A 13,559-nucleotide genomic window follows, 5' to 3' on the forward strand; every position below is an offset into this window, starting at 1 on the left:
AACCCCACACCTGTCCTAATGTTATGAGAATGGATTCTTGTGTTTTGAGATAAAAATTTCTGTGACAGCATTATATATAGGTTCAAAAAGAGTTGGATAGAAGTGAAGATGATATGTTATGGGGGAAAAAAGTAACAATAATGAAGACAAAGATACCAATATTGAAGATACCTATGAAGAAAATGAGAATGAAACATGCAATGTTTCTAAATTGTTACTATCAACTTGGATATAAACCAACATATTAAATATTCCATATAGATATTTGACTTTTTCATTTACATTTCCAGAAGTTGGTATATTCAAGGTGGCTAATAAACTTTAAAAAATAATCTTGTTATGAAAAGTTGAGGTTATCCTTGTACTTGTGATCACCTTATATTCAGGCAGATGCGCTTTGTTGTTCTGACCTAAATCTATGCCAGAGCCCATAATCTATATCCTGGAAGGTACTACTTCCCTAGCTTTCATATTTGTTAGAAAGAAAGCCATTTGTATTTCATATTGCTCTTTGTTACCTAAGCTGGCAAGTTCCTCCCATGGTTCCTGTGTTCCTCTTGTACTTGCATGATACTATGCAATGACAAATTCATAAGTTACACTGGTCCCAAACTCTTTAAGACCAGGTAGTAAAAAATACAAGATTAAATTGAAAATATAATTATACAAAAAAAGTTAAAATGTAGGATCCCTCAAATACACAAAATATTAAAATCTTCCAAACTTTTGAATAATATTCACTTGTTTCAACAGTTTTTTCTTCCCTATATAAACTTCTCTCAATTTCACAAAAAACATTCAACAAACTCATATAACCTTTTGCCATTTATAGCTATCTTGAGTTCAAATATAGTACTTTAAAAAAATCAATAAATTATACCCTTTGAAGGCATAAAATGTGTTTTGAGATGTTTTTTATGGGTCTACGGTACTTAAGGTTTCTGATAATTTTGTGAATTATTAACAGAGTTCTATTTGTGGTCTGTTTAAATTACTAAGGGTTATTTATTTATTTTTTAAGACAGAGTCTCGCTTTGTCACCCAGGATGGAGTGCAGTGGCTCGATCTCGGCTCACTGCAACCTCTGCCTCCCAGGTTCAAGCAATCCTCCTGTCTCGGCCTCCCCACTAGCTGGGACTAGAGGTGCACACCACCACGCCCGACTAACTTTTGTATTTCTAGTAGAGACGGGGTTTCACCATGTTGGTCAGGCTGGTCTCGAACTCCTAATCTCAGGTGATCCACCTGCCTTGGTCTCCCATAGTGCTGGAATTACAGGCGTGAGCCACCACGCCCAGCCACTAAAGGTTATTTTATTTTTTTTTTTAAACTTTGAGTGTTTATCTTTCTGGCTGACATCTAGGAAAACAACCTCAGTTACAATATAATTGTACTCCTGCAAGTTGAGGGAGTCAAGCTTCTTCTTGTTCTTCCACTTGGGGGCAGTGGGTATTTTTGGCTTTCTTCTCCTTCCCCCACTTACCCCTGTAATTAAAGCTGAATATGTACAAATAAAGCAGAATTACTGGGCAAGAGCCATTTTCACGAGGGTACCAATTGCTTCTGTGCTAGGTCTAGAATATCAGCAGGGAAACATCATCAAAGGAAATCAAGGCAATTCCTTTGCTGATACGGAAATTGTAAAGAATCTCTTTAGAACTAGAGACAGCAAGCTCAGTAATGCAAATGTACTCACGTGTTCATCTGAAAAACAACAATATCCCCATTTACTATTTAGCAAAAATTGAAAGAGTAGGACCAAAAGCTCAAAAGATGGAAGGTGTAAAAGAAAGTCTCTTTTCTGCTCAGCACTTTGGCAGGCATCGCACTGAATTTGCATCTGTCTGAGTGGTAACTTCCAAAAGTCTGAGAAAGTAAATGTGAGCTGAATATCAAGTGATAAAAGAGATAATTCTGACAGACTCTGTTTGTGTGGGAGGATTGGGTGTTGAGTACCAAAGAGGCGAGGATTAGCATAGTCAAGAAAGCTCACAAATCTAAAACCAACCCTAAGTGAAAATGAACTCAGGGCAAGTTTTCTAAATAATCTCACTATAGCGCACACACATGCACGCACACACACTCACACACACTCACACTTTTTAGTATACTGAAGGATATTTTGTAAAGTGCTCTTTTCTTCCTGATTCTATTGTTCTTTCTGTTCCTCAACAGTTGTATGTGTCTATCACCTAACTATTTCCTTATTCTTTGCTCACCTCTCTCCTTTCTTAGGACCTTCCTTTTTGATTTTTTTTTAAATTTTAATTTTATTTATTTTTTTGAGACGGAGTCTTGCTCTATTGTCCAGGCTGGAGTGCAATGGCACAATCTTGGCTCACTACCACCTCTGCCTCCTGGGTTCAAGCGATTCTCCTGCCTCAGACTCTCAAGTAACTGGGACTATAGGCATGTGCCACCACGCCCGGCTAATTTTTGTATTTTTAGTAGAGACGGGGTTTCACCATGTTGGCCAGGCTGATCTTGAACTCCTGACCTCAAATGATCTGCCTGCCTCAGCCTCCCAAAGTGCTGGGATTACAGGCGTGAGCCACTGCATCCTGCCTATTTTTAAAATTTTTACCTCCATCATACAGCCAGAAGTATCAAATTCAATTCACTTTCAAATAGTGATGGTTTAGTTCTACAATTTTTGCCTTTTCCACACACACCTGCCAGGGTTTCCTTGGTGCTTAATAAATGTTAGATAGTGTAATGCCATAAGCAGCTGCAAATGTCACTGTCAAGCAAAGCTCCATTAAAGCTGCAAAGAGGTGGAAACATCAAGCAAAATAGTTAAGGGAGGCTAAAAACAAAACCAAAAACTCTAGCACTTAGCACAGTTCCTGGTATACAGGGAACTTGATAATAAAAGTTTGCTTAAGTGTTTGTTGAAATTTTAAGGACCTTTCTCAAGGAACCCTGTATTTTGTAGCTACCTTCCTCTCCAAAACTAGAATTCATGAATGACGATCCAGCAAAGATACTTTCCTTTTTTCCATTTACATCTGCAGTCATTAAAGCCTGAAGTAATGGTCAAAATATTCAAACCTCAGCTGGGCACGGTGGCTCACTCCTATAATCCCAGTCCTTTGGGAGGCCGAGGCAGGCGGATCACGAGGTCAGGAGTTCAAGATCAGCCTGACCAACATGGAGAAACACCGTCTCTACTAAATACAAAAATTAGCCAGGCATGGTAGCGCTTGCATGTAGTCCCAGCTACTCAGGAGGCTGAGGCGGGAGGATCGCTTGAACCTGGGAGGCGGAAGTTGCAGTGAGCTGAGATTGTGCCACTGCACTCCAGCCTGGGCAACAGAGTGAGACTCCATCTCAAAAAAAAAAAAAAAAAAAAAATTCAAACCTCAAAGCACAATAAGGGTTAAGTACATCAAAAGTAAGAAAGGCTGGGGGTTATATTATGACCATATTTTTTCTCCTCAGGCTATTCCTCTTTAACTTTTGCAGAGTTGCATTAATTGTGAAGAAAATTTAAATTCAAAATGCCTCTTTTAGAATATTTGTATACTCTCAGACACTTGTCCAGTATGGTGGGGTTTTTGATCTGTTTTGGTTTTTTTGTCATTCTCTGTCCCTATCCACTCATCTTTAAGTGGAGAAAGTACAGCATGCATTTCTGCACAGATCAAGGAAGGAAATCAGGGTGACCTGTACTATCCACACCTTACTGACCACATCCATACTCTGTTGGCAGTGACAGGAAGCAGAGCAAAAATGCTGGCAAGAGGGAAAATTAGGTCAAGAGTCCCAGGTTCTCAGAATGAACAACAGTATAGCCTGGAGGGTTTTGGCACTGCCTCATCTCTCTTGTCCACTGCTGAAGGCAGTCTAGAGTGCTAGGTAAGAACATTACTCAGATGCAAGATTATCTGTGTTTGAATTTTGCTTCTGCCTCTGACTTGTGGTATTGGTTAAGTAACTTAAACTCTCTAAGCCTCAGTTTTCTTATGGGTATAATAGGGAAAATAAAATAAAGTGAGAATAGCAGGGTCAGGTACAAGTTTTTGTAAAGAAGAGATCTTTGCTGGAGAGAGGTAAGAGGTCAAAGGTAAGAAAGAGACAGGACAGCTAATAGTCACTGTTTTTAATTGTGGCAAAGCAAAAAATATTTAGATGTGTTTAAAAAAATCTTCTGCACATATTAGTGCAGAATATTAGTCACTCAAGACATGTTGGATAAATGAATAAAAAATGGAGGAACAACTATTCAATGCTGATAACTGATAAACTTGGTATTAAAAAGAGATATGGGAACAGACAGATTTTCCTTAACTATGATGACCTCTCAAAATATTTGGAAAACACAGCATTTTTTTTCTACAAGTGAAAATTCCAATATCACGACTACCATTTTGTAAACTTCATAAATGCACACAGATCTCAGGGGAAGATGAGTGGAACCGTGCACTATTCTATCTTCAGTACCACCACTCCATTTTGACTCTACCAAAAAACCAAATATACTACTAAACACCCACCCAAACAATCAAAATATCAAGACCAGAAAGTGGATAAACAAAGTACCTGACACCACTCTCATTCCTTTACTGAATTCCTTTCACTTATTCTGTCACTAGAGAAGTGGCCCTATTTCAGCTTGGCCCTATTTCAACTTCAGCTTCCATAGATTAATATGATTTTAATAAAAGATGTATTATAAGCCCTATTTACTCTTCTTAAAATTGAAATCAGCCCCCATTCCTTATCCTCCTCCTCTGTTTTTTTGCTTCACAGCATTTGCCACCTTTTAATAAAATAGGTATTTCACTTAATTTGCATATTTTCTCTCTCTCCTTTCTAGCATGTAAACTCTATGAGGACAGGATTTTCAATCTGTTTTGTTCACTGTTGCATCTTCAATGCCTGAAACAATGTTTGGCAGAATGTACGTGTGCAAAGAACACTTGCCAAAAGTCTGAATAAATTAATCAACTCCATTACAATAGAACAATGCTATGAGACATTTCTTTTGCATTGACTTTTATCTGTGCACTGTTTTCGCCATGTTAACGTCCATTTACAAACTTCATATTATGTTCTAAGAATTGGTTTCTCTCTAGGCCATAACTTTCTTGAAGGGGAGCACTGCATATTACTTTTTAATTTTTCCCTTACTGCTCTCATATTTTATTTTTTAGAGATGGAGTTTTGCTCTTGTCACCCAGGCTGGAGTGCAATGGCATGATCTCGGCTCACTGCAACCTCCACCTCCCGGGTTTAAGCAATTCTCCTGCCTCAGCTTCCTGAGTAGCTGGGATTACAGGCACCTGCCAGCATACCCAGCTAATTTTTGTATTTTCAGTAGAGATGGGGTTTCGCCATGTTGGCCAGGCTGGTCTTTAACTCCTGACCTCAGGTGATCCACCTGCCTTGGCCTCCCAAAGTGTTGGGATTACAGGCGTGAGCCACCATGCCTGGTCCCATATTTTAAATACTAATAAATAAAGTTCAGGTAACTTCTCTCTTTACACTCCTGGTCTTGCCCTTCCTTTTGCCTCCCTCATGCCAACAACACTTTGCTGAAGAGAGTCTGGCACTGTTTCAGTGAAGTCATTATCTATACTACTTGGTTATGAGGTGAATGAATAGACTATGGTTTTAAGTTGTTGAAAAGGCAAGCACGTTTTTCAGAAGAAATTCTTTTATGAGTTCCAATGCAATAAAATAGCTCAGTGATTCAACGGGCTGAATTACATTTCATTCACTTAGAGGTAAATTCCACTGAAGAAAACTAAAGAGCACATACTTCCCCCTTTAATTTTGGCTCTCTAGAAATTTCTCATTTAGTGATATTTCTCATACCAAGAACTAGAACCCTCAAAGGTCTCAGGGAAGAGACACAGGCTGTTTGAACTAGGCCGACTACAAAATATATAATATTAACCAAAAAGAAGCCTTCACCAATTGGTGCTGAATTATTAATTACCTCTTCCTAGACTTCTTCGTATGATAACTTGATTATTTCTTCATACCCCAGTTTAGAAAAATTACCATAATTTATGCTTACACTAAGGAAATCCCTAAATATTCTTCAACAACTTTGCATGGTTACAATGTTCTCTTAAAAAAAATGTAATCTGAAATAAGAAGCCACTGATACATATTATCTACACTGCTTTAAGGCTTTTGCTTTTTGAATGTTATATGTGTACAACTTGTATTTCAGTTTGTCCTAATTTGTGATGTTTTTAGCAATTTGTTCAGATAATGTTCCTAAATCTTGATATGAACTAAACTTATGAAAATTGATTGTGCTTATAGGGATGCCAATAATTTCATTAGATATTATAAAATTACAGTTATTCCCTCATTTTCCGTTGCTATGAAAGGCAAATGGCAAAGAGAAACAACACGACACCTGGAGTGAAAAAGATTTATGTTTAAATCCTCTGCTTAAGAGTGTAGTCTTCAGCCTGCTATCTGGAAAAGCAACCATGGTTAAGAACACGGGTTATGATTAAAGTAGAACTGAGTTCAAATCCCAGATCTAATCCTAACTAACCATATGGCAGGTTTCAAATCTAAGGTTCAGTTTCCTCATCTGTACAAAGGACATAATATAATAAATATATCGAGCACAGGATTGTTTATTGTCAGGATTTAATAAGATAGTGTATGTAATGTGTTAAACAAGGTGGCATGCATAGAATAAGCATTCAATAAACTTAACCCGCCGGGTTTGGTGGTTTATGCCTGTAATCCCAACACTTTCGGAGGCTGAGGCGGGAGGATTGTTTGAGGTCAGGAGTTCAAGACCAGCCTGATCAACGTGGTGAAACCCTGTCTCTACTAAAAATACAAAAATTAGCCGGGCATGCATCTGTAATTCTAGCTACTAGGGAGGCTGAAGCAGGAGAATCCCTTTAACCTGGGAGGCGGAGGTTGCAGTGAGCTGAGACTGTGCCACTGCACTCCAGCCTGGGTGACAAAGCAAGACTCTGTCTCAAAAAACAAAAAAATAATAAAAATAAACTTAATCCACTACTACTAACAAATGACATAATTAAATGTGATATTCTATAGAGAACATATATATCAACTGTTAAGTATTTAACTGTTAATTTTTTACTATTTTATGCATGTCAAAAAGTTGGCGGCTGGGCGTGGTGGCTCACGCCTGTAATCTCAGCACTTTAGGAGGCAGAGGTGGGCAGATCACTTGAGGTCAGGAATTCAGACTAGCCTGACCATCATGGTGAAACCCCATCTCTACTAAAAATACAAAAATTAGCAGGGTGTGGTGGCGGGTGCCTGTAATCCCAGCTATTTGGGAGGCTGAGGAAGGAGCATTGCTTGAACCTGGGAGGCAGAGTTTGCATGAGCTGAGATCACGCCACTGCACTCCAGCCTGGGCAACAGCAAACGAGACTCCGTCTCAAAAAAAAAAAAAAAAAAAAAAGTTGGCTCAATTGCCATTCGATTTTCTCCTCTGCTGCTTTGGAGAGGTTAGTCTTCTTCTGTCATAGGATAGAAATCACTTTTCAGATATTTACAAGAGGACACCATGTTTCATAAAATAATAAAGAATGTAGAAAGGATTCTGTGTCATTTTTTCTGGATACTCAGAGTAATTTATTTTCTCTTAAAGCTCGACCACTGCTGGTTTTTGTTTTTTAACTTTTATTTTAGGTTTGGGGCACACATACAAGTTTATTATATAGGTTAACTGGTGTCATGGGGTTTTGGTGTATAGATTATTTTGTCACCCAGGAACTAAGTATAGTACCTGATAGTTGTTTTTTCTGATCCTCTCCCTCCATTTGGAGTTTTCTTATTCTATTCCTATTTACTGCTAACTTTATTTTTTATGTTTTTATTTAATTTTTTTAGAATTTAGATAGGGTCTCACTATGTTGCCCAGGCTAGTGTCGAACTCCTGGGCTCAAGTGATCCTCCTGTCTTGGCCTCCCAAAATACTGGGATTACAGGGGTGAGCCTCCTCACCCAGCTTATAATTTTAATTATTTCAACACTTGGTTTAAATTTTTCTTTTTGACTTATATTCTTCATGATTGTAAATGGATGTGAAACGTTTCATAATTTTTATAAAAATCCATACATGTTTCCCTCAAGTTCTTGAGTCTAAAATTAACATAGATCTGTCCTTACTTTTATTTAGTGGACCTTAATGTTCACTGAAGAAATATTATTGATACTTAGAGTAACTAAGCCACAATGGTAGGTTCCATAGTTAAAAGATAATTTTATATATTGTACTTTGGACTTAAACTAATCATTCAATTGTAAAGTAGTAACATCAAACTTTTGCTCTCAGAGTTTGTTCTGCTTCATCAGTACATTCAAATAGAATGCTCCATAATGAAGAAAATAGTCTATCACTTCATTTGCACTATCCAATAATGGTAGCCATTAACAACATGTGGCTAGTAAGCACTTGAAATGTGGCTAGTGCAACAGAAGAACGGAATTTTTAAGTGTTTAATTTTAATTAATTTTCATTTAAATAGCTCTTTGGCTAGAAACTACAATGTTGGACAACACAGTTCTAGATAGTTCAAAAAACATCAGTAATTATGTGGAAATAGAATAATAATGATTCTCATTACTAAACTATACAGGTTATATCATTGCCTCAGGAATTGCTGACACATCTCTTGACCAATTGTGCAAGAAGCAATGAGGTTTTGAGCACGGTTTTTTACCACTTTATGAATCAACCTTCCCGCCTCCTCTTCCCCCCCCCATCTCTGGAGTCCTCATAGTTTTCTCTTTAAAATCATTTGTAAAACAGAAAGCAAAGCTCTCAGATCTAACCAGTAGTCTAACTCTGACCTTAGGCTCCCACGGGAATTCAATTATTTTTGTTGGCCTAACCTCTAAGGGATGATGGATTTGCTATCTCTGTGTCCTCCTTCTTCCCTGACTCCCCCTCCCACCCTCACATCTTCTCCTCTAACTAGTCACATTTAGTTAGTTTCTTGACCTGCTGCCTTTGTTTTAAACAGGAATGAAAGAGAACCATAACTGGAAACAGAAACTGTTGCATTCAGTTATTAGGTCGCAATGGGAAAAATGAGGCTGTGTATGTATAAGTGTTTTTGCAGGGTTTAGGATAGCAGCTGCAGCTACCCCTTCTTTCCTTCCACTGCTAGACAAATTTCCAAGCACTTGATACTAGAGTTCTACCACTAGCTAGCCAGCTAGAGGTCTCGGTATCCTCTATGAACTGTTAATGAAGTTCCGGAAGTTCTTTCCTTAAAAAACAAAAGTTCTGAATGCTGACTCTCTAACCACGGAAATGGTATCTTATTACTAAAACACTAAAAATGTTAAGCTGCATACTGCTCCAATGAGTAGTCTGTAGACTTGTTACCATCTGTACTGGCCATAGCGAAAAAGGGTTTGACACTACATGATAGTTACTGGTACTTGTTCCCAATAGCTGCTTAAAATAAGCTGTTGGCAAGTTTGACTACTTTTTTTTTTTTTTTACATTTAAAAAATAACAACATTAAACAGTTATATCTGTAAATGTAAGAAGGTTAAGGCATTCTAAGTCACAGGATGGGATAGGAGGTAGGCACAAGATACAGGTCATAAAGACCTTGCTGATAAAACAGGTTGCAGTAAAGAAGCCGGCCAAAACCCACCAAAACCAAGATGGCAATGAGAATGACCTCTGGTCGTCCTCACTGCTATACTCCCACCAATGCCATGACAGTTTACAGATGCCACGGCAACATCAGGAAGTTACCCTATATGGTCTAAAAAGGGGAAGCATGAATAATAGACCCTTTGTTTAGCATATCATCAAGAAATAACCATAAAACTGGGCAACCAGCAACCCCCCGGGGCTGCTCTGTCTGTGGAGTAGCCATTCTTTTATGCCTTTACTTTCTTAATAAACTTGCTTTCACTTAAAAAAAAAATTAAACATTTACATTTGTATAAAGTACTTTCACATACCTAACCAAATTCAATTATTTTAACAACCCAGTAAGGCAGGAAAATCAGTTATTATTATTCTGATTTTTATGAGTGTCATCTGACTCCTAGGATAGCAGCATGTTTCCCAGTATACCAGTACTTCTACCTGGCAAGGGTGCTGCCCAAAAATGGTCTTGGGAGAATGTAGACGGTGTAGAAAAGTCTGTAATTTGGCCGGGCGCGGTGGCTCACACCTGTAATGGCAGCATTTTGGGAGGCCGAGGCAGGTGGATTACCTGAGGTCAGGAGTTTGAGACCAGCCTGACTAACATGGTAAAACCCTGTCTCTACTAAAAATACAAAAATTAGCCAGGCGTGGTGGCACATGCCTGTAATCCCAGCTACTTGGGAGGCTGAGGCAGGAGACTCGTTTGAACCCAGGAGGCGGAGGTTGCAGTGACCTGAGATCGCACCACTGCACTCCAGCCTGGGGAACAGCAGCGAAACTCTGTCTCCAAAAAAAAAAAAAAAAAAAAAAAAAAAAGCCTGTATGGTTGTAATTAATTGAGCACTCAAATTTAGTTCTTAAAACATTTTCTTTCCCCTCTTTGAATTATATTATTTTAAATGTCACTGGGCACGGTGGCTCACGCCTGTAATCCCAGCACTTTGGGAGGCCAAGGAGGGCGGGTCACCTGAGGTCAGGAGTTCGAGACCAGCCTGGCCAACGTGGCGAAACCCCATCTCTACTACAAATACAAAAATAAGCTGGGCGTGGTGCTGCATGTCTGTAATCCCAGCTACTTGGGAGGCTGAGGCAGGAAGAATTGCTTGAACCCAGAGGTAGAGGTTGCAATGAGCCGAGCTCGGGCCACTGCATTGCAGCCTGGGCAACAGAGTGAGACTGTCTCCAAAAAAAAAAAAAAAAAAAGCCAACCTTCTAGGGTAGATTTTGTAAAAACCAAATTATGGACATCCTAAGTTCTCAGATGTACAAATGAGTTACAGCTCTAAGTTGCATCTCTTCAATTTTATTTCTTGAAACAACTGCCCTCCTCCCTGCAAATCTACCCTCCCTTCTTGGCTCAAATGGTGGTTTTCTTTCCTTTTTTTTTTTGAGATGAAGTCTTGCTCTTATCCCCCAGGCTGGAGTGCAATGGCACGATCTTGGCTCACTGCAACCTCCGCCTTCCGGGTTCAAGAGATTCTCCTGCCTCACCCTCCCGAGTAGCTGGGATTACAGGCGCCTGCCACCACGCCTGGCTAATTTTTGTATTTTTAGTAGAGATGGGGTTTCACCATGTTGGCCAGGCTGGTCTCAAACTCCTGACCTCAGGTGATCTGCCCGCCTCAGCCTCCCAAAGTGCTGAGATTACAGGCCTGAGTCATCAGGCCCCGCCACATGGTGGTTTTCTTTATCTTCCTCCTGGCTATGTGCTGGGTAGCAGATTATCCACAATTATTATTGTAGCTCAAAAACCTGAGTTTTCCTGTTTCTCTTCTTTTACCATTTTCTTATTCTTTCCCCCCATAGGCAACTCCCTCCCTTCTCATAATTAGCTTAAGACCTTAATGTTGGCTGGGTGTGGTGGCTCACACCTGTAATCACAGCATTTTGGGAGGCTGAGGCAGGCAGATCGCTTGAGCCCAGGAGTTTGAGGCCACAAGATCAGCCTGAATAACATGGCAAAACCCAATTTCTACAATAAAATATAAAAATTAGCTGGGCATAGTGGCGTGCACCTGTGGTCCCTGCTACTTGGAAGGCTGAGGTGGGAGGATTCCTTGAGTCAGGGAGATGGAGGTTGCAGTGAGCCGTGATCGTGCCACTGCACTCAACCTCTACAACAGAGTGAGATTACAGAGTGAGACTGTGTCTCATAAATAAATGAACAAATAAATAAGACAGACCTTAATGTTTTCTAACAAGGTGGTTTTGATATTTGGTGAGCTATGTATAGACTCTTCTGAAATGTGAAATATGTATGTCTTCAAACATATAAACAAGGTAAGTTCTTCACACACTATGAAGCTTCATAAAAGGTTCCATTTAAATTTGTATCTTGGCAAAATTATTGAACTTGGGGAGTATCCCTAAACTGTTAAATCAGCAATATTACATCTGTTCCAAACTGGTATCTCATTTTTCTTGGAGTTCACAGAAAACAAAAAATAAGGCAACATAAAAATTATCCAGAGTTTTGCTTGGACAGATTTCTATTATCTGCCCATTTAATATATAATATCTATTTGATATAATTTATTAAATGTTTATAATCATCCTTCTATTATATAAATAGGTTTACCACATCTGCTTGGTGATGTTGGTAGCTTTTTTCTTCTGTTATAAGGGAGAATATGGAGGAAGGATTTAAAGTACAGGAGGTCAAATGGAGTCAAGAATGTGTAAACCGTGTAGTGTAGATAGCCTTAATATATTCTGGACTTAGAGTTTTAGGGCAGTGGGAAAACTAATCACATTCATAAGACATTTTGCAACTACATTATTCCCCCACAAATAATAGTTATTTTAATCTATATCCACAAATAATAGTTACTGGCTATATCTACAAAGTTTGTGTAGATATCTACAGATTCTATGACCCTACAGTGTTTCATAGGTATTCATGTAGCACTTTTAAAGTACAATTAATGAACTGTGTCCAGCAAAGGTTTATACTGGCCTTTCCTTCAAAATTAATGAAATAAAACTGTACATTGTTGTCTCAGTAAAAATAAAGGCACAAAGAATTCACAAATAGGGGCCGGGCATGGTGGCTCATGCCTGTAATCCCACCACCTTGGGAGACCGAGGCAGGTGGATCACCTGAGGTCAGGAGTTCGAGACCAGCCTAACAAACATGGTGAAACCCTGTCTTTACTAAAAATACAAAAATTAGCTGGGTGTGGTAGTGGGCACCTGTAATCCCAGCTACTTGGGAGGCTGAGGCAGGAGAATCGCTTGAACTTGGGAGGCAGAGGTTGCAGTAAGCCAAGGTTGTGCCATTGCACTCCAGCCTGGGTGACAGAGAGAGACTCTGTCTCAGAAAAAAAGAAAAAAAAGAAAGAGCTCACAAATAAGTTTGTTATAAGGATTTTCACCATGAGATAGGGAAAACTCTTATTAGCCTGAAACATGGCCTTTGGCCCTTCCTCATAGGAATCCCAAGAGACAAAGAATAAGTCTCATTTAGAGTTGAATAATTTTTTTTTTTTAAAAACAGCATTAGATCTATGTAAAGATAGTATTTAAAAACCAAACAAAACTAAGAAATGGGAAAAAGAAATGGCAGGTGAAGAACTCTTTTCAGAGAATAAAAGTTGTCATATAGCAATGGATGCTGTGTCAGAACATACTGCCAATAAACTTTAAGAAAAAAGGAACTCAATGAAGTTACTGTTATATAAAACAGGAGCTCACAGCAGGGATGTAAGAGTTAATGGAAGATATCGTGAGCCAAAACAGGGAATAAAACATGATTTGGCAGAAGTCAAGAGAGATGTGGGGAGAAAAATAAAACCACTAATGAAATGAAGCTGGCAAGAAGCAGCACAAAGAACTGGCAATGGTGGAGACGTGGTAAGGGACATGGGTGGAGAATTGAGGAAAGTAGCAAAACAACAGCACCTTGAATAAAGTTTTTAAAAACTAG

The 13,559-nt window shown here is 39.0% G+C and overlaps 1 protein-coding gene across 8 annotated transcripts in view, besides 1 other annotated feature; it reads right to left on the reverse strand.

The window, feature by feature from the left end:
• Positions 1-13,559, reverse strand: part of TAOK3 (TAO kinase 3) — a 223,107-nt gene that overhangs the window by 148,709 nt on the left and 60,839 nt on the right. The gene's annotated exons all lie outside the window — the stretch shown is intronic.
• Positions 9,690-9,789: an enhancer, noted in NCBI's record as "active region_7110". NCBI's record gives its function as "activates an Ori minimal core promoter by ATAC-STARR-seq in GM12878 lymphoblastoid cells {active_cell/tissue: GM12878}" and the evidence as "EXISTENCE:reporter gene assay evidence [ECO:0000049][PMID:35858748]".

This window comes from Homo sapiens, chromosome 12, assembly GCF_000001405.40.
Source record: "Homo sapiens chromosome 12, GRCh38.p14 Primary Assembly".
In the NCBI taxonomy this organism is placed as follows: domain Eukaryota; kingdom Metazoa; phylum Chordata; class Mammalia; order Primates; family Hominidae; genus Homo; species Homo sapiens.